The sequence below is a fragment of the Homo sapiens genome, chromosome 3, assembly GCF_000001405.40.
Source record: "Homo sapiens chromosome 3, GRCh38.p14 Primary Assembly".
NCBI lineage: Eukaryota > Metazoa > Chordata > Mammalia > Primates > Hominidae > Homo > Homo sapiens.
The window spans coordinates 185,173,184-185,194,514 of record NC_000003.12 but is presented as its reverse complement, the minus strand read 5'-3'; the positions used below and the strand labels follow the sequence as shown (position 1 = coordinate 185,194,514).

At 41.7% G+C, this 21,331-nt stretch overlaps 1 protein-coding gene and 1 long non-coding RNA gene across 5 annotated transcripts in view, besides 4 other annotated features; one reads left to right on the top strand and one right to left on the bottom strand.

Moving 5' to 3' along the window:
• EHHADH (enoyl-CoA hydratase and 3-hydroxyacyl CoA dehydrogenase) overlaps positions 1-3,891 on the top strand; it is a 63,426-nt gene extending 59,535 nt beyond the window's left edge. For all 4 annotated transcript variants that reach the window (NM_001966.4, NM_001166415.2, XM_047447641.1 and 1 more), the window contains one exon: positions 1,028-3,891. In NM_001966.4, the coding sequence (NP_001957.2) occupies positions 1,028-2,289 (1,262 nt within the window). In that variant the 3' untranslated portion in view covers positions 2,290-3,891. The remainder of the gene's footprint in view (positions 1-1,027) is intronic.
• The window catches only part of EHHADH-AS1 (EHHADH antisense RNA 1), a 29,055-nt gene continuing 10,283 nt past the window's right edge, over positions 2,560-21,331 (bottom strand). Inside the window, exons 2-7 of the long non-coding RNA NR_038990.1 lie at positions 17,077-17,195; positions 14,506-14,575; positions 13,799-14,012; positions 12,829-13,379; positions 11,575-11,683; positions 2,560-2,828 (exon numbers count right to left, since the gene is read on the bottom strand). This is a non-coding gene — a long non-coding RNA (EHHADH antisense RNA 1). The remainder of the gene's footprint in view (positions 2,829-11,574; positions 11,684-12,828; positions 13,380-13,798; positions 14,013-14,505; positions 14,576-17,076; positions 17,196-21,331) is intronic.
• Positions 18,256-18,780: an enhancer, noted in NCBI's record as "H3K27ac-H3K4me1 hESC enhancer chr3:184893523-184894047 (GRCh37/hg19 assembly coordinates)". NCBI's record gives its function as "activates a minimal SCP1, AML or CMV promoter by ChIP-STARR-seq in primed H9 embryonic stem cells {active_cell/tissue: H9 hESC(primed)}" and the evidence as "EXISTENCE:reporter gene assay evidence [ECO:0000049][PMID:30033119]".
• Positions 18,256-19,305: a biological region, named in NCBI's record as "H3K27ac-H3K4me1 hESC enhancers GRCh37_chr3:184892998-184893522 and GRCh37_chr3:184893523-184894047".
• Positions 18,740-19,034: an enhancer, noted in NCBI's record as "tiled region #8302; HepG2 Activating DNase unmatched - State 1:Tss, and K562 Activating DNase unmatched - State 5:Enh". NCBI's record gives its function as "activates a minimal TATA promoter and a strong SV40 promoter by Sharpr-MPRA in HepG2 and K562 cells {active_cell/tissue: HepG2 | K562}" and the evidence as "EXISTENCE:reporter gene assay evidence [ECO:0000049][PMID:27701403]".
• Positions 18,781-19,305: an enhancer, noted in NCBI's record as "H3K27ac-H3K4me1 hESC enhancer chr3:184892998-184893522 (GRCh37/hg19 assembly coordinates)". NCBI's record gives its function as "activates a minimal SCP1, AML or CMV promoter by ChIP-STARR-seq in primed H9 embryonic stem cells {active_cell/tissue: H9 hESC(primed)}" and the evidence as "EXISTENCE:reporter gene assay evidence [ECO:0000049][PMID:30033119]".

The window sequence follows — 21,331 nt, the reverse complement described above, 5'->3', positions numbered from 1 at the left end:
TCAGCCTCCCAAGTAGTGGGGATTACAGGCATGCACCACCACACCCAGCTGATTTTGTATTTTTAGTAGAGACGGGTTTTCTCCATGTTGGTCAGGCTGGTCTTGAAATCCTGACCTCAGGTGATCTGCCCACCTCGGCCTCCCAGAGTGCTGGGATTACAAGTGTGAGCCATTGCACCTGGCCCCCTGGCTAATTTTTAATTTTTTATAGAGTTGGAGTCTCACTGTGTTGCCTGGGCTGGTCTCAAACTCCTGGTTCCAAGTGATCCTCTCACCTTGGCCTCCCAAAGTGCTGGGATTACAGGCACGAGCCACCTCACCCAACCTTGAATAGTTTTGTCATACAATTTGAAATTGGGAAGAGTGAATCCTCCAACTTTGTTCTTTTTCAGTATTGTTTTGGCTCTTCTGGATTTCTTGCATTTCTATGTGAATTTTAGGATCAGCTTATTGATTCTGCAAAAAACCAGCTGGGATTTTTATAGGAATTGTGTTGGTTCTTCACATCAATTTGGGTAGTATTACCACCTTAACAATATTAAGTTGTCTGATACAAAAACATTTAATGTTTTTCCATTTATTTGGTCTTACTTAATTTCTATTAACAATGTTTTGTACTTTTTAGTGTACAAATCCTCCTATTCTTTGTTAAATTTCTTCCTGTGTATTATTCTTTTTGATGCTATTGTAAGTAGAATTGTTTCTTTTAATTTTATATTCAGATTGTTTATTTCTAATATATAGAAATATACTTGATTTTTGTATATCAATTGTGTACCTACAATCTCGTTGGACTCATTTATTAGTTTGTATAGCTTCTATTTGTGTGTGTGAATCTGACTAATTTTTATATCCTCTGAAACACTTAAGAGAGTGCAGAGTCTTAACTAGTACTCAATCCATTTGTGTTTCTTGACTCAATCTCTTTAAATGCCACATTGTCACATAAGCCTTCCATCCAGTGAATAATTTATCAGTTCCCAATACCACTGAATCATTCTTTTTCTCCTTTGATTTTTATCTGCAGGCTTGGGAACAATGGGCCGAGGCATTGTCATTTCTTTTGCAAGGGCCAGGATTCCTGTGATTGCTGTAGACTCGGACAAAAACCAGCTAGCAACTGCAAACAAGATGATAACCTCTGTCTTGGAAAAAGAAGCCTCCAAAATGCAACAGAGCGGCCACCCTTGGTCAGGACCAAAACCCAGGTTAACTTCATCTGTGAAGGAGCTTGGTGGTGTAGATTTAGTCATTGAAGCAGTATTTGAGGAAATGAGCCTGAAGAAGCAGGTCTTTGCTGAACTCTCAGCTGTGTGCAAACCAGAAGCATTTTTGTGCACTAATACTTCAGCCCTGGATGTTGATGAGATTGCTTCTTCCACTGATCGTCCTCACTTGGTCATTGGCACCCACTTCTTTTCGCCAGCTCATGTCATGAAGTTGTTAGAGGTTATTCCCAGCCAATACTCTTCCCCCACTACCATTGCCACTGTTATGAACTTATCAAAAAAGATTAAAAAGATTGGAGTCGTTGTAGGCAACTGTTTTGGATTTGTGGGGAATCGAATGTTGAATCCTTACTACAATCAGGCATATTTCTTGTTAGAAGAAGGCAGCAAACCAGAGGAGGTAGATCAGGTGCTGGAAGAGTTTGGTTTTAAAATGGGACCTTTTAGAGTGTCTGATCTTGCTGGGTTGGATGTGGGCTGGAAATCTAGAAAGGGGCAAGGTCTTACTGGACCTACATTGCTTCCAGGAACTCCTGCCCGAAAAAGGGGTAATAGGAGGTACTGCCCAATTCCTGATGTGCTCTGTGAATTAGGACGATTTGGCCAGAAGACAGGTAAGGGTTGGTATCAATATGACAAGCCATTGGGTAGGATTCACAAACCTGATCCCTGGCTTTCCAAATTCCTATCACGGTATAGAAAAACCCATCACATTGAACCACGTACCATTAGCCAGGATGAGATCCTTGAACGCTGCTTATATTCACTTATCAATGAAGCATTCCGTATCTTGGGAGAAGGGATAGCTGCTAGCCCAGAGCACATTGATGTTGTCTATTTACATGGATATGGATGGCCAAGGCACAAGGGCGGGCCCATGTTCTATGCTTCCACAGTTGGGTTGCCCACAGTTCTAGAGAAATTGCAGAAATATTACAGGCAGAACCCTGATATTCCCCAACTGGAGCCAAGTGACTATCTAAAAAAACTGGCTTCTCAGGGAAACCCTCCCCTGAAAGAATGGCAAAGCTTGGCAGGCTCCCCTAGCAGTAAATTGTGATTCAGTCTTCCAGATTATGCCTCACATGCTAGCATCAGGTAATGCTGACTGAATTTCAGTGAAATTAAATCAAAAATCCAAAGTAAGATTGTTCTGAAATACAAAGCAAAATAAATAATCATTAGAATCTTCTGTGTAACGACTCTAATGGTCAAATCTTTAGGAATGTGCTTCCTATGCCTCTGAATCTGTCCTTATCAGATAAATTCAATGCATGAACTTGTGTGAATATAATACCATAATAGCTAATGAAAGAGGCTCAGGCATAAGTTGAGATTCTCAAATGCTTTTATCATTGGATAAATGTGTCATCAATTAATAAATGATAAATGCAGCTAAGTCATACATTCATTTTGACTCCTTTCAATGTCACACACATAGTATTGATCAGAAATCTTATGAATCATACATACACTCAACAAACATTAAAGTTGTAGGAAAAAGACAGTTGGAAATTGGTAAGGGAACTGAGTACTTCAAACCAGCACAGGGAACTTAGGTTAGTGTGGCAAGCCTTTCCTCTTCTGGTCTTTCCTCTTCTGTTTATGGAGAAATAATAGAAAGTAGTAAGTCGTTAACTTAGTGTAAGAAGGGTCTTAGAGAACATCTAACCTTCTAGGATTTCCCAATTCTGTGATAGAGTAATGACACCAGTTTTCCTGTCATGACAAGCCTCTGTGATGTTACATATGGAAATGGTTGAATCTTGAAAAATCTAAAATTGTTGCAAAACATATTTTGTATGATTTTGTTGTAAGAGTTCTTCTCTTTTTACTTTTTGCCTTGTGTAGTTAAAAATTAAGGGGCTGGTCAATACAAAAACTTGTACACAAATATTTATAGCAGAATTATTCATAATGGCCAAAAGCTGAATACAACCCAAATGTCTATGAACTAATGAATAGATAAACCAAATCTGGTATATCCATACAATGGACTATATTATTCAGCCATAAAAAGAAATAAAGGGCCAGGCACAGTGGCTCACACCTGTAATCCCAGCACTTTGGGAGGCTGAGGCAGGAGGATTGTTTGAGGCCAGAAATTTGAGACCAGCCTGGGCAACATAGCAAAACCCTGTCTCTACAAAAAATACTTTCCGTACATTAGTGGTTGCCTAAGGCTAGAATTGGGGGTGATGAATGGGGAGTACAGGATTCATCTAATGGGTACAGGATTTCTTTATGGTTCATGAAAATGGTCTAAACTTATTGTGGTAATGGTCACATAACAATATATTAAAAACCATTGAGTTGTATATTTTAAGTGGGTGAATTATATGGTATGTGAATTATATCTCAATAAAGTTGTTAGTAAATAAATGGGGCTGAAGATGTTATCCTTCATTGTGGTGTAAATGAACTTTCACAATATTTTCACCTGTGAACCCAAATAAAATGATTAAAGTTCTGATGGAAAAATCTTGAATGGAGTATAAGTTTTCCGTTGTTAAAAAGCAAACAAAAAACCAACAAAAAATCCAAGTGTGCCTTGAATTGTACAGAGCACAATTATTATGTTTGAAATGTGTACTACTTAATTTTATATAATTTGGTTTGTGAAATTAAAGACATCAATAAAAATGATTCCTGAAAGTAGTAATTTTGTCTCCAAAGTGACTTGCTTTCAAATCAGTGTTAAAAAAAACCCACTAACTTTTTCTTCAAACCTGGAATTAATTTTGAGTTCTTACAACTTATTTTCACCCTACAGTGGCCTCTAGATTAAGGGGGTTTTTTTTGTTTTTTTGTTTTTGTTTTTGTTTTTTTCTGACTGGAGTCTTGCTCTGTCGCCCAGGCTGGAGTGCAGTGGCGCTATCTCAGCACGCTGAAAGCTCTGCCTCCCAGGTTCACACCATTCTCCTGCCTCAGCCTCCTGAGTAGCTGGGACTACAGGTGCCCGCCACCACGCCTGCCTAATTTTTTGTATGTTTCAGTAGAGACAGGGTTTCACCATGTTAGCCAGGATGATCTCAATCTCCTGACGTCATGATCCACCTGCCTCGGCCTCCCAAAGTGCTGGGATTACAGGCGTGAGCCACCACGCTTGGCCTAGATTGAGATTTTGAAACTAGAGGGTCTATGAATAGGTTTTATGAGTCAATAACCCCTGAAATGTTATGATAAAGTTTGTGTACATGTATCTGAGTACATTTCTTGGAAAAGGTACCATATCTCACATCATATTCTAAAAAGTATCATGACCCGACCAGGCGCAGTGACTCACGCCTGTAATCCCAGCACTTTGGGAGGCCAAGGCAGGTGGATCATGAGGTCAGGAGATCGAGACCATCCTGGCTAAAACGGTGAAGCCCCACCTCTACTAAAAATACACAAAATTAGCCGGGTGTGGTAGAAGCACCTGTAGTCCCAGCTACTTAGGAGGCTGAGGCAGGAGAATCACTTGAACCTGGGAGGCAGAGGTTGCAGTGAGCCGAGATCATGCCACTGTACTCCAGCCTGGGCAACAGAGTGAGACTCTGTCTCAAAAAAAAAAAAAAAAAAAAAAAAGTATCATGACCCAGTAAAGGTTAAGGACCAATAGAAAATGGCAAGAGCAGCCTGGCAAGGTGGCTCATGCCTGTAATCCCAGCACTTTGGGAGGCCAAGGTAGGCAGATCACTTGGGGTCAGGAGTTTGAGACCAGCCTGGCCAACATGGTGAAACCCCGTCCCTACTAAAAATACAAAAATTAGCCAGGCGTGGGGCGCATGCCTGTTAGTCCCAGCTTCTCGGGAGGCTGACGAAGGAGAATCCCTTAAACCCGGGAGGCAGAGGTTGCAGTGAGCCAAGATTGTGCCACTACATTCCAGCCTGGGTGACAGAGAAAGACTCCATCTCAAGAAAAAAAATGAGAAAGAAAACAGGAAGAAGAAAATATGAGTTCATTCCTTCTTATTTTACATCAAATGAAGCCAAACTAATTCGAATTTGCTGGGTCCCACATATAATAGTAGTTAATATGATGAAATTTTCAGGATATCCTCTCCTGTCCTTGAACATATACTTGCTTAAATGGCTGATTTTGTTAATAATTTTAAAACTTAAAAAAAAAACTTTGGATTTTGTTTTAAAAAATATGTTCTAATGATCATTGACTCTGATGGGAATTATATATTGGAAACACCCTTGAAGCTGTAAGACTCCCAGCTTGAAAGATGCTCTTAATGATAGTACTTAAATCAGTAAAGCCACCATGCAGCTGCAGTTGCTCTCTATTTACTTTCAGCAGGAACAGGTGTGCATGAGAGCAATTAAAGTGAGGAATCCTAAATTCCCCTGATTAATGATGTTACAGAATTCTTTATGCAAATCACACTCTACTGCACTGTAGGAACCTAAAATTTCAAGGTCTTAGATTTGTCTTTAAAACAGATACCTAGAAATCAGAAATATTGCAGCCTCACTAGATTATCTGAACCTTTTTGGTAGCCATTGATAAGATTAAATCAAGTTCTCTGGACTATGTTTAAAAGCAGCTTTCTGCAAGAACAGAATAGTTCTTGACTATTCTTGGGACTGTCAGTGCCATCTGCTTATCTTACCAGCTTATACGTATTTTGAGATTAACAGACAAGTTACACTGCTTCCAGGCAGGACAGCAGCATTCACAACTCCAGCGGACACCATTCATACTGTGTACCAAGGGGTTGTCATCCACATAGAAAAGATATGAATGACATCCCCAGGAATTGTATAATGCCTAGTTTTGTTTCCAGGACACTCTGTGTGGCAGTTTCAAGCCAAAAACTCTTCTGGTTATTGCTGTATCTTTCTAAATAATAGTTGACAAAAGTGGCTGAGAAAACCTCTGTTTAGACTGGATCACCAATGGGACCAAATTTGGGACAAAATGGGACAAAATGATTGCATTTTGTTTGTTCTTTTTAATATTTTTTTCCTAGCACCCTGAGAAAGAGGAATATGAGAGAGATGAACAGAACTTTAAACTCTTGTCCAAAGAATACCAGGGCATTTAATTTATTTTTTATTTTTTATAGATACTATGTTGCCCAGGCTAATCTCAAATTTCTGGGCTCAAGTGATCCTCCTGTCTCAGCCTCCCAAAGTGCTCAGATTACAGGCATGAGCTACTGCACCTGGTCCCCCTGCACATTTCAATTGAAATATTTATTTCTTCTTTTGCACCCAAACTGAAAGTAGCCTGGCAGAATGAGTGCCTGAAAGCATCTCATAAGATGACCTGAGCAGAGCTAATGCAGTCGCTCATGCGCACATTTTCACTGTACTTAGGCTATTCCACATTCTCTAAGACGACACACAAACAGTTGCTAATTCTAGCCATAGTGTGATATCCCTAGCATGAGATTAGGGCAATTCCACATTCTCTAAGACGACACACAAACAGTTGCTAATTCTAGCCATAGTGTGATATCCCTAGCATGAGCTTAGGGCAAAACCTTCTCCAACCAGATCCTAAATGCACATGGATTTCCAAAGCTGGCCAAGGCCTAGAGTGTTGTTGATTTGGAAATTGACCGTTGGCTGTCCCCCAAAGTTTCTCTTCTTATGTAGGGATAAATGTCCCAATTGTTAGCTAAACATATAGTTGCCCAGAATACACAACGTATTTGTCAGCTTCTCTTATATGGAATTGTGGATATGTGACTAACTTCTAGACAATGGGATGTCAGAGGGATTGTCACATGACAGCTTCTGGGAACTGGCCTTCACAGTCAGATGATGTACAGCCTTTGCCCATTTCATTTTTGTCTCTTCCTCCATCTTCCTGCCTGGAACACAGATGTGATGGCCAGAGTTGCAGCCACTAGACTAGACCATGAAGACAGAGGCCAGGCCCTGGAATGAAGAGCAGGAATGAAGAGCAGTAAAGAGCCTGGGTCCCTGAGGAGCTCATGGAGCAGCATTGCCACCCTACCTCCAGCAGTCATTTATGTGAGAGAGCAATCAACTCGTATCATGGAGAATTTCGTGTTATTTTTAAGTCTTTACTCATAACTGACCCTAAAATCTGAATGAATGCAAGTGGGATCCAAGAATTAGTACGGTTTGGGGTTCTTTGTTTTTTGTTTGTTTGTTTGTTTTCTCAGTGCTATAGGCAATTCTGATACACAAGTAGTTTTACTGATTTATTTATTTTGGGACAGAGTTTCACTCTTGTCGCCCAGGCTGGAGCATAATGGCACGATCTCGGTTCACTGCAACCTTTGCCTCCTGGGTCCAAGCACTTCTCCTGCCTCAGCCTCCCAAGCAGCTGGGATTACAGGCATGTGCCACCACACCCAGCTATTTTTTCTATTTTTAGTAGAGACGGGGTTTCACCATGTTGGCCAGGCTGGTCTCGAACTCCTGACCTCAGGTGATCCACCCGCCTCGGCCTCCCAAAGTGCTGGGATTACAGGCATGACCCACCAGGCTTGGCCACACAGGTAGTGTTAAGAATCTAGTCTCATTAAATAAAATTTGTTTTTTAAAAAAATGTTTTTGCCAGTCCGATGTGTTTTTCAACTTGATGTTTAATTACTCAGAAATTTGTATATGTTTCACATATAATTGTTGTGGGCAGACGGAGATGCCCACTAAGAACCTGAGAATAGGGCTGTAAATAAACATTTGGTAGGAAATAGTCTCACAGGCCTACTTGAACCTCAGCTTGACTATTACTTAATTAGAAATAAAAAACATTCATGAAGAAAATATGTATTAACAGAAGGAGAAGTGATTAACAATAGCATAAGGGAAAAGAAGAAAACTTGGAAAAGCAGCATCTCTCAGCACTGACTAAAAGTACTAAATCTGGGGTACATAAACTTTCTGCTCACTAGATCAGAGATCTCCAAAATGGGGTGCCGCTACCCAAAAGAGCATGAAAAATGTTCCACAGAGGTGCAGGCAGAAGATACTAGAACTACCATTGCTACTTATTTTTGCCTACAAAATAAGAACTTAATCTTGATTAATATTTTGTGTGCTGATGTTCACTGTTGCCCTCAACAGGCTGCATCTCAGACAGCTGTGAGGTGTCCTGAGCAAAGCAGGAGACATCCAAAATGCAGAGGCCGACAGTGGTATCCTCCCACTTTCATTTGCTTTCAGCGTATTGAGAAATATTGTAGATTCTATGTAATGGGGTAAGTGGATAGTCAGACTAAATTATTTAATTTAACTAAACTAACCGTCACAAAAAATTCCTTGAAGGGAGGCCCTCTTAAAAAATTTACTTATGAATGGATAAAGAAAATGGGGTACACATACACAATGGAATATTGTTCAGCCGTAAAAAAGAATAAACCCTGTTATTCGTGGCAACATGGATGGCACTGGAAGATGTTATGCTGAGTGAAATAAGCCAAGAACAGAAAGCTAAATACCACATGTTCTCACTCATATGGGGAAGCTAAAAAAAGCAGATCTCATAGAAGTGAAAAAAGTGGAACAGAGGATACCAGAGGCAGGGAAGGGTAAGGGGAAAGGAGGGAGAGGGAGAGGTCTGTTAAAGGATACAAAATTACACCTAGATTGGAGGAATAAGTTCCAGTGTTCTATACCGCTGTAGGATGATACAGTTCACAATAATATATTATATAGTTTCAAATAGCTGGAAGGAGAATATTGAATTTTCTAGACTCAGAGAAATGATAAATGTTTGAACTGATGGATATGCTAATTAGCCTGATCTGAACAGTATACAGTGTATGTATCAAAACATCGCCATAAGCCCCATGAATATGTATAGCTATTATTTGTTAATTAAAAAATAAAATTATAAAAAAAAGGATTCCTTCAAAGAAAGCACAATTGAAGATAAAACAAAGCAAGCAAAGGTGAGCAACGAGAAAATGGCAAAGCTGGCAGTTCTGGTGTCAGCTTTTAGTCAGCTGCATTACAAGGTAGAATGAGTTAGTCAAATCTCGCAAGAAGTTGGCCAAAAAAAATGGAAATTATCAAGAAGATTATTAGAAATTTTGATCGATGGCCGGGTGTGGTGGCTCACGCCTGTAATCCCAGCACTTTGGGAGGCTGAAGCAGGTGGATCACCTGAGATCAGGAGTTCAAGACCAGCCTGACCAACATGGTGAAACCCCGTCTCTACTAAAAATACAAAAATTAACTGGCATGGTGGCACGCGCCTGTAATCCCAGCTACTCGGGAGGCTGAGGCAGGAGAATCACTTGAACCCAGGAGGCAGAAGTTACAGTGAGCTGAGATCGCGTCGCTGCCCTCCAGCCTGGGCAACAAGAGAAAAACTCCGTCTCAAAAATAATAATAATAAATAATTTTTTTAAAAAAGAAGTATTTATGTACCTGCCATAAATAGTGAAGTTTGCCCTAAAAGTATACTGTCTGATATTAGCTAATAATAATATGAAACCATCACATATTAGTAACGTGTTTTAATACATTATTTAATCAATATCTAATCACTTATAAATTTCTTTTTTGTGTTGTATAATGTACATGTATATCAATATAATAGGAAAAGTATATGATTTGTAAGTCAATAAGCATTCTGCATATTAGATATATATACTAAAATTTTCTGTGGTGTGCTACCCAGATCCTCTTTCAGGAATGAAAGATTGATTAATTCTCCCAGCTTCCAGAAGTGCTGCCAGAAGATGGCCTTCTTTAGGGACTGCCTTGCTCAAGGTCACACCTTCTTCCAAAGGTAATTTGCTCCGTTCAGGCGTCCCCTTACCCCAGCTCTGCAGGGCTGACATAGTCTAGAGCTCCTGGTGGGTCACGTTGATTGGAATGAGGTCTTCCTCCTGGTGGGTCACATTGATTGGAATGGGGTCTTCCTCCTGGTGGGTCACATTGATTGGAATGGGGTCTTCCTCCTGGTGGGTCACATTGATTGGAATGGGGTCTTCCTCCTGGTGGGTCACATTGATTGGAATGGGGTCTTCCTCCTGGTGGGTCACATTGATTGGAATGGGGTCTTCCTCCTGGTGGGTCACATTGATTGGAATGGGGTCTTCCTCCTGGTGGGTCACATTGATTGGAATGGGGTCTTCCTTCATCCTGCAATGCTCCTCAACTTCTTCCTCTGCTCATTCCTGCTTCTCTCTCCTCTCTTTCAATGGTGTTAATTCTGAGATCACTCCCTAAACATTTTGGGGTTTTTTTGTTTATTTGTTTATTTATTTATAATTTCAACTTTGATTTTAGATTGGGGGTACACATGCAGGTTTGTTACATGGGAATATTGCATGATGCCAAGGTTTGGGTTATAACTGATAATTTTGCACATGAATCTCAGTCTCAGAGTCTGCTTCCCAGGAAACCTAACCTACAACAGTGAAGGTGCATGATTAAAAATGCTTGGCAGGCCGGACCTGGTGGCTCATGCCTGTAATCCCAGCACTTTGGGAGGCCAAGGCGGGTGGATCAACTGAGGTCAGGAGTTTGAGACCAGCCTGGCAAACATGGCAAAACCCTGTCTCTACTGAAAATACAAAACATTAGCTAGGCATGGTAGTGTGCATCTGTAATGCCAACTACTTGGGAGGCTGAGGCAGGAGAATTGCTTGAACCAGGGAGGTGGAGGTTGCCTGAAACAAGACCGCGCTGCTGCCCTCTAGCCTGGGCCGCCAAATGAGACTCCATCTCAAAAAAAATAAAAAAAAATGCTTAGCAATAGTCAACTTACAAGCCATCAACTCTTCAGTATTTGTTTAATAGACTTCTTTTGATCTCACCTGCCATCAGTTTTCATAAATATTCTATGTGTGCTAGAATTTTCATTCTCTATTTCATGAATATGGAATTCTACTATTAGATCAAGCTTGTTAATTATGTTACTCTAGTTTTCTCTACAGCCTTGCCTATGTTTTATCTGTAATCTTACCTTCTTCTGATGAGCAGGGTCAATTACCCATGCCAGGATGGTTACAAAGAGCCAGAAGTGACTGGGGGGCAGTCATAGCTTAACAGATTCTTACTCTATCTCTGGTGGAAGTATTTCCCCTCTAGGAACCAGGACTTCTAGATAAAGAGTGTTAGTTGCTTTTGCGGGAAATAAAATTCCCCAAGGGGGCCACTTCTACTTCCACTATTTGGTGTCTATAACCCTGTATTCTATCTATTGGTAACATAGCACCATATGTGATTATTGATTTAGAGTATGAACTATATCCTGGAGAGTGATACCCCATTTCACGGGGCATCATTTCAAAACTGGCACCTCAACAGTACCTGCAAAGATATATCCCATTGCTCTAATAGGAAGGCTAGCGGCTTCTATGTAGTACAATATGTGATTGGACTAGAGGATCCCATAGTCGTCCATCCACTTCTATACCTCTTTTGTCCTTTTGTTCCAAAGTATGTCCTTTTCCCTGATGCAATATTATGTGAGGTCTTGTACCACTGATTCAGATTCTAAGTCCTTGGAGAATGGTGCTGAAACCCTGTAGTCAGAAAAGAAAAACCGATATCTGGAATATACGTCAATTCCAGCCAAGATGGATCACTGATCCTCCCAGAGTAGAAGAGTTCTGATGTAGCCTACTTACCGCCAAGTGGTTGATTGGTATCCTTGAGTACCAGCCCCCGGGGTGCAGCATTTACTAGTCTCTGGCTAGTGAATTGTACATTCAGCAACTAGATCAGCCTTGGTGAGTGGGAGCCCCTTCTGTTGGGTTCATGCATGGCCTCCATCCCTACAACCATGCCTACTCTGTTCATGGGCCAGTCATGCCAGTGCTAAGGTGGGCAGTGATCGTGACTAGCTGATGTCAGCTAGCCTGGCCGCTCTGTCTACTTGGTTGCTTAATTCACCTTCTGTAGTAGGTGTTCTCTGGAGGTCATTAATATGTGATACACTGCTTTTCACATTTCACACCCACTCCCACAGGTCATCCATCTCTAAGTTCCCTAGTTCTCACTGTCCCCTGACTTCCAATATTCCTCCTTCTAGGACTTGACCAATCATCCAAGCTGTTTACCATTGCCCACATATCCTTACCTCAAGCTACTTCTCTGAGACTTTGGATCTCTTCCTCAACCATCTGCCATAGCAGATTCAATGGTTAACCTAGCAGCATATTAACAACGTCTCCTAGAGTGCCTAGGCGTTGAATCTTGTGTCTTGAAGAGTGTTTCCATGTGGATAAACTCTACCTACCAAAGTTTATGTTCTGCCACTCACTTGATCTAGCAACCTCAGGTCTAGTCCCACACATGCTCTCCTCGCTTCTGCTGATAGGTGTTGGCTACGTCCTACAGCACCTTAAGGGTATGATCCCTTTTCTCCCCTAGTGATCTCAACACCTCCCTGGATGAGTTATTTCGTGACTTAACTCTAATTATTGTTCTAGGGGCATTTTCTGAGCTGGGCATGTGTTGTCTTATAGGACAGAAGCCTCTTATCTTCAAGCAAGTGAGGAGCACTAGTGTTTAGCAGGGAAAGGCAGGTCACTTCTGCAGGCCCAGAGCATTTAGGGGAATCTCAGAATTTGAGATTTTCAGATTCATTGACCCGATGTCCCCATCCCAAGTCACAGGGTCCCACTTCTTCCTAATCAAAGCCCTAACCTTATCATAGTGGACTTACCATGAAAATTCAGCCTTTTGCAGAACTCCACTTTCCTTATAATGAAGTCCCTGGCCTGATCCTCTGCTTTTTCTCCCCTGTGACTACAGGAGATGAGCTTCTTCATATGCTGCCAAGGAAGTCCCGTGATGTTCACAGATCATCTTACATTGGTAATTAATCACCTTCACATCTTTTATTATATTTCTGCAGTGCAGCAATAGCCTCCAGCAACCACTATCTGACTCCATATAATCACAATTTTCGATAGGCCTCTCAAATGCCTGAGATATTGCTTTCATTACTTCCTACCGATATCCCATCACAACTTCTGCACGGGTAAAAGTTTTAACTTTTGCAGCCACAGCACGCCAGGTGGTATCAGTACTCCACTTACTACGAGGGATGATGTCCTCATTGCCAGGTGGCTGGTTGATGATCCAGTTCCAAAATTCCATTTTAACGGTTTGCCTCTTAGGACCTCTTCTGTTAAAATTGCCATAGAATGGGAAGGAGACCCGAAGCAGAGATTTCCATGCAGGTCTACTGGTGAATGCTCTTGGCAACAACAGCTGTAAGGGAGTGAAGGAAACAGGATTGAGCAGAAGGATGGGTTGATACAGATGTAACAGGGGCTTCAGTGGACCCATGGGGAGGTCAGGGGCTTGGATAGTCCTTCAGAGATCCTAAATTAAGGCAAGGGGGATGGACCTTTGTACCCCAACCTTGACTTGCTTTTGGCTGTGGGTTGCCCCTAGGGAGGAAGGCATAGCCTTGGACATACCATCAGCCAAGATCAGTATCCTGGGATCAATTCAGGTCCTTACGGCCAGTACTCGCAGCAGCTGGGGGAATCTGGTCGGCGCGGCACAGCATCAAAGAGCTCTGCCTTGTAGACCTTCACTATTGCTCTAATCACTCTCATTATACTTTCAGCTCCTGTTTTTGTAATTTGCTCAAGAAACCTGCAACTCCCAGCATCCCTCCTCACCTGGACACTCATCCCTGTGTGGCCGTGGACTCTTTTCATTGTATGGCATCTAATCTGATGTCTGATCTTTCTCAACTCTCCAAATCCTTCTCCTGAGTCCTCTCAAACTCAACATTTGCATTAGCATGTCCTCTAGTCTCAAATGTGTATTGAACACTTCTGTATCTCCTTGGGGTCTTCAAGAGGGTCTCTAATAAATGACTGCATCAGCCACCTTTTGAATACATTGAAAAATAAAACAAAAAGTAACTATGGGGGCCAAAATAGCACCTTTACTAGAGACAGAGGACAGGCAGGAGGATGTGGTTTGATGTAGATTAACCCCATGGACTTGATAACACTGCCCTGGAGAATTAGATGGCTCGCCCTGCACAGTCACAGCAGCAAGGGGCCACACGTATGTTCTCACATTTTCTGAAGCCCTCAGTTATGTGGTTTTAAATGATTCCTTATGGCATGTTAGTTGAGGCCCTAACAAGTGAGGTATAATCAGGAAAAAGAGGGAGATAGAACTCTCAAGAACAGTTAATCGATAATTGAATGTAACGAGTGTCAAGTGCCAAATGAATGATGTAGAATGTTAATACTGGAATTCAGAGAAGAATGTACTCACTAAAAAATGTATGCTCCTTAACCTTAAGGAGGCCATGCTACCACATTTCTTTAGACCATTCATTCCCCCATTCCTCTAGATGATTCTTTCGTACCTCCTATTCTTCCAGATTCTGTCACCTCCTTCTCCATCCTCCTTCTCAGCTGATGTCCTTGCTTCTTTCACTGAGAAAATAGAAACAATCAGGAGAGCTTCCTCAAGTGCCCACCAACACATCTACCCACCTCCCTGCATCTGTGCTCACATATTCTGCCTTCCCTCTTGTTTCTGTAAATAAACTATCTGCCCATCTATTAAAAATCAGCTCCTCTGCTATATTCTAGATACCATCTCCCTTCACCTACTCAAATACCTGGTCCCAGCAATTCTCTCCCCTTTCTTCTGCTTCATCAACTTCCCTCTCTCTACAGCTTCTTTCTAATCAGTACATAAAGTTGTACTTTCTTCCATCTTAAATAAAATCTTGTTTAAAAATCCTTTTTCTATTAAAAAAATTTGATCCCATTTCCCCTTCCAGCTACCAGCTTGCTTCTTCTTCACAGCAAAACTTCTCTACTGATTTTTCTCATTGTTTCCTATCTTTTCCTCTCATTCTTCCTTAAACCTACTCCAGTCAGGTTTTGATCACCACCACTCTACCAATACTGCCTTTGTCAAGTCCACCAGTGACACTTTTTTTTTTATTATTTTTTAGACAGAGTCTTGCTCTGTCACCCAGGCTGGAGTGCAGTGGCACAATCTTGGCTCACTGCAACCTCTGCCTCCCGGGTTCAAGCAGTTCTCTGCCTCAGCCTCCCAAGTAGCTGGGATTACAGGCGCTCACCACCATGCCTGGCTAATTTTTAGTAAAGACTGGGTTTCACCATCTTGGCCGGGTTGATCTTGAACTCCTAACCACGTGATCCACCCGCCTCGGCCTCCCAAAGTGCTGGGATTACAGGCACTCACCACCATGCCCAGCTAATTTTTAGTAGAGATGGGGTTTCACCATCTTGGCCAGGCTGATCTTGAACTCCTAATCTCGTGATCCACCTGCCTCGGCCTCCCAAAGTGCTGGGATTACAGGAGTGAGCCACCGCGCATGGCCAACCAGTGACACTTTTATTGCTGAATCCAGTGATCAATTCCTGGTTTTCATCTCACTTAGCTCATCGATCATTCCCTCTTCCTTACAAAGCTTGCTTTGCCTGATTCCAGGACTTCACCAGCCTCTTTATTTCTTCCACCTCGTTGGTCTCCTGCTCAGTTTCCATTACTGGTTGTCTATCTCCCCCACCTCTAAATAGTGGAGAGCCCAGGGCCCAGGCCTTGAATCTCTTTTTTTCATGCTCCATACCTGCTGTCTCAGTGATCTCATTTAGTTTCGTGGTTTTCAATATCATCTGTACACAGAGAACTCCTAAATTCGTACCTTCAGCCTAGACCTCTCCCTTGTTTGTCTATTTGACATTTATGTTAGGATGTCTAGTGGATATCTAAGACTTAACATGTTCAAATTGAGCTCCTGATATTCTCCATCCCCCTTCCAGTCCTCCCCCAAAACAGACTTCTGTAAATCTGCCCCATTCTCCGTAAGTGATAGCTCCATTCTGCCATTTGCTCAGGACATACACCTTAGTGTCATCCTCAGCTCTTCTCTTTATCTCACTCTCCGCATCTAATCCATCAGTAAATCTCGGTGGCTCTACCAGCAAATATATTCAGAATACAACTATTTATCACTGCCTTCTCTGCTATCACTGGGTCCAACCTATTATTGCCTCTCCTCTGAGGCAATGGTGTCTTAACTGGACTCCCTGCTTCAGCCCTTGTTTTACTACAACCATATCAACACAACAGCCAGAATAGCTCTTGTATTCAAAATAGTCCGTGGTTTTCTATCTTATTTAGAGTAAAAACCAGCCTTTACAATGCTACAAGACCCTACATGATCTAACCCCATTAGCTCCCTGACCTCACCTTCTGAATGTTTTGCTCATTCTCTGTCCAAGCCAACGTGGCTTCCTTGGTATTTTCTGAACATGCCAAGCAAACTCCCACCCCAGGGCCTTTGCACCTCCTATTCTGTCTACCTGAAACTCACTTCCCTCAGCTATTGCACAGATTTCTGCCTCACTTCTTTCCTTCTGCTTTGAAGTCACCTTGTTAGAAGGGCTTTCTCTGATGATTCCGTATCAACAGCAACCATTCCCTTCCCCAATATTCCCTGTCTCCTTGATCTTGCATTTTCTTCATAGCACAGTTACTGTCTGACAATACTTTCTATGCTTCCCCCTCTAAAATATCAACTCCTTACAAGCAGTCATTTTTGGTGTTTTGTTTGTTGTTGTGTCTGGAACCTAGACCAGTGCCTGGACATCGGAGATGCTCAATATATTTGTTGAAGAAATAAAAATCTTAGTTTATACCTTGTCTTAGACTAGCCATTCTAAAAGATCCCACCTTGTGTTCTGCATGCTGGAGATTAGCCCAGGCTATGTTAGAACACTGAAGGAAGGCCGTAGAAAGATTGCTCATCCATCATCTGCCTCAAAACTACCTGGCACAGCTTAACGTAAGAAATGTAAAAGCCAAATTTCCATTGGTAACCTAACTTTCGCCTTGTCTACCCACCCCTAATTATAGAACAAATGATCCAAAAAAAGTTTGATGATTTGTGACTTACATTAAAAAAAAATCTCATAGTCCCAGCTACTCAGGAGGCTGAGGCAGGAGAATTGCTTGAACCCAGGAGGTGGAGGTTGCCATGAGCCAAGATCATGCCTCTGCACTCCAGCCTGGATTCTGCCTCAAAAAAAAAAATTTAAAGGAATTAAAAATCAAATTACATTTCATTGTACAATTTACAAATCCACTTTTTCGAGACAATAATATTACATAACAAAGAATATAAAACTCAAGAATATTTGTTATTAGAATGTATGAGTATTTGAAATATGAACTGTTACAGAAAACGTCTTGGCCATACCACTAAATTGTCAGTTACCCAACTGGCCCTCGGAAACATCTCATAATGTAGACTCTACGTTGGAAAATAAAACAAACTTAATGAAGCGCAATTGATAATCACTTCCAAGAACTCAAAGTATGGAGTGTGGGTTTCGTCTTGCTGTGTTTTGTTTTGTGTTTTTGCTGCACTGCCCACCAGATGGTGCTGTTGAGAAGTTTTCTTAAAAATTCTGAGTTCGGGGTCAACTATTAACTAAGTAATAGAATATAATTTCTATGTTCAATAGCGGTTCTCTAATATTGTTTTTATTACTTTAGACAAAATGTTCTGTAGGCTCCTGGAACTTGTGCATGGGTGGGATGCGGGTCAGTTTCATAAATAATAGGCAATGTGAGTCGGTGGAAATTGGAGATAGAATTTCAGCTGCAGCAGCATTTGAAATTAGTAGATTTTCATGATCATTATGTACTTGGCTTCCCAGAGTTAAAATATTATGTAAGATGTACACAATTTTTTGTAGCTCTTGTTCAGCCTACAAGAGTGAGCATAATAATACCATTTCAATTTTTAAAATCCAATTGCTTATTCTTACATGGTTCCTGAAAAGCTAGCTTTATTAATTCTTTAAAATATGGGCAAGAATTTTAAAAATAATAATTTAACAGTTGGATTTGTGGCTCTTTCTACACAGATATTTTGTCTATTAGTAAATTCAGGGATTTTTTTGAGTGTATGCTATATACTGTATATCACTGTAATCATAGTACGAGCCATTCATACAGTATAGCAATTAGTCTACCTGGCCATTTCCTAAGAGCCACTAATTTTAATGAGAAAATCAGTGAATATAGGTAGTCAGATTTTACCTGATTTGCTACCGTTTTAGAGCTTTCATGGAAATTTGAGAGTCAGTGACCTCTTTTATTTTATCCTTTGTGCAAATGGAACCTTGCCGTGAAATAGGCATTACACTTGCTTTTTCAGATTAAATTCCAGCTTCTTTACCTTTTACATGTTGACTCTATTTTCCATCTTTTAATCATTATTGTCACCAGAATTGGGACGAGAAAAGGAAGGCGCCATTTACATAATCACTTGGCTAATCATGTACATTTATTTACATAAGTTATAAATCTATCTGAGAGAATGAGAAGCAGACCCGGGGGGAGTGAAGAGCCTGGGGTGGGGGTTGGGACTTCCCAAAGGTCCTTCAGGGAGAGGGAATCTGAGATGTTAGCTTTCCGGAAGTCAGAAGAGCGTGGACAGCAGACATCTGGGCTTGAGGGCGCTGGGGCCTGCCTGCGGGGAAACACAGGCCACGAGATTGTCTCTGGGGAGAGCGAGAGAAGAAAGCGAAGCAGGCGGCCTAAGCAACACTCAATGTACTGCTTTCTCCTTTTCTCTCCAGCTGATGTTCCCACTTCCCAGGGCCTCCGCCGGGACGTGGGGATGCAGAGGATCAGCAGCTGTTCTGCTGGGCTGCTGGCAAGGGAGTGGCTCTAGCACAGACACCCCTTTCTTCTTCCTCGGAGGGAGCAGGAAGTTGCTGAGTGAAGCGTTGTTTCTCAACCTCTCCACCCCCCAGTTATCAGAGGCAAGGCTCTGTGTGGCCGTCTGTCTCCTGTTCCTGGGCAGGGCTGGGCCAGAGGACAACACCAAGATAAATAACCCCAGCATACTAGGGCCCTCTTTTACTGCTTGTGGACTTAGGCAACCTGGCAGTGCTAGCCAGATTCCAAGGCTAGAGGCTGGCTTAAGCGAAAGGGGCAATTTGGGGAGTGGTCTTGCTCTGATGCCCCAGAGCTGTTTGTTTTTGTGCCTCTAGTTAGTAGAATATTTGGAGCCATAATTGCCAAATGTGTAAAACCACACCGTTTTTGGGTTAAAGAGAGACAGACGAGAGAAAGAGACAGACACAAAATGCATCTTTAATATACCTTAAAATATGTGTATATGCATAATAATAATTGTCCTTTTTTCTTTTGTTTTCCTAAAATCAGAACAGGACAGCACACTCTCTCTGTCCACCCATCAAGTTCATCATCTGTGGATCACTGTATTTATCATTGAAAAAACATACACCACCCCTAATATTGCAGAGCAGCATTCTAAATATTCTGCTTGTATTAACTCATTTAATTCTCACAATACCCCTATGCAGTAGGCATTCCAGTATTATTATCACCGTTTTACAGATGAGGAAACTGAAGCACAGAAAGATTACTTTTCCAAGGACACACAGAGATAAACCCAAGTTTTTTGTTTGTTTATTTGTTTTTTGTTTTGTTTTTGATTTTGTTTTTGTTTTGAGACGGAGTCTTGCTCTGTTGCCAGGCTGGAGTGCAGTGGCGCAATCTCGGCTCACTGCAACCTCCGCCTCCTGGGTTAAAGTGATTCTCCTGCCTCAGCCTCCTGAGCAGCTGGGACTATAGGTGTGCGCCACCATGCCCAGCTAATTTTTGTATTTTTAGAGATGGGGGTTTCACCGTGTTGGCCAGGGTGGTCTCGATCTCTTGACCTCGTGATCTGCCTGCCTCGGCCTCCCAAAGTGCTGGGATTACAGGCATGCACCACTGTGCCCAGCTGTTTTTTTGTTTTTTGGTTTTTTTTTTACTGTAAGTTGTGGGATACATGTGCTGAACATGCAGGTTTGTTACATAGGTATACATGTGCCATGGTGGTTTGCTGCACCTATCAACCCGTCTCTGGGTGATAAACCCAAGATTTTAACGTGGGCAATCTGGCTCTAGAGTCTATGCTACTAATTATTATGCTATGCAATTTGTACTTATTTATAAATCACACACATATGCTACTGTAATAACATTAGTATATACCTCATGAAACACAAACATATACGGACATTTTAAAAGGCAATGTTAAAAATAAATATAAATATAATTTCTGATATTTTCTTCCTTGACTCCAATAGATTGTCTTGTAATCCCCCATTTTAGAGACCACTGTTTGAGAATTTGGAGCCCTGTGGAAAGAGCCTGACCACGACAGGCTCAGGGAACATGAGCTGTACCACTTCACCATTAATACAGTGAGCTTCCGATACTTTCCAGCACCATGCTTCCTTTTTAACACAACCAAGTTTTGCAGATGCTCATATAAGAGTTGTACCTTTAGGCCGGGTGTGGTGGCTCACGCCTGAAATCCCAGCACTTTGGGAGGCCGAGGCAGGCAGATCACCTGAGGTCATGAGTTTTAGAGCAGCCTGGCCAACATGGTGAAACCCCGTCTCTACTAAAAATACAAGAATTAGCTCCAGATGGTGGTGTGCACCTGTAATCCCAGCTACTCAGGAGGCTGAGGCAGGAGAATCACTTGAACCCGGGTAGTGGAGGTTACAGTGAGCCAAGATCGTGCCATTGCACTCCACCCGGGGCAACAAGAGCGAGATTCCGTCTCAAAAAAAAAAAAGGGGGGGTTGTACCTTTTGTATCTGTTGATTGAGAAAAGACACTATAATTGAAGCTATTGAGTAACACGTGCTTTCAAATGACTTGATTAATTACAGCGGCACCTACATAATGTAAAAAGTGGCCCACACATATGCAAGTCACATTAATTTTTCAGTCTACGTAGAATACTCAGTATATATATGGATTTGCTTGCTTCTTCTGGGTCCCCGGCGTGCATAACCTTTGTAGATGCTGGAATTTGTTAGTGTGGTGGAAAGATTTTGAGTTCACAAGCCAGTCAGAAATGAGTTTGAATTCTAGTCTCACATATGCGACCTGAAATAAACAACGAATTTTTTCCCTGCCTGAGTTTCCTTGTTTGTAAAAGGAGGATAATACATCCTTGCTTGTTTGTTGTAAGCACAGCTATATATAAAAAGTCTCGGATACATATTGACACAATAAATGGCAGCCATTATTCTCAGAAGCAGATTTACTCCGAAGCTAGCAAAGCTTACAGCTCTTGGCAGGGGCTCTTTCCAAGACTTCAGGAAGGCCCT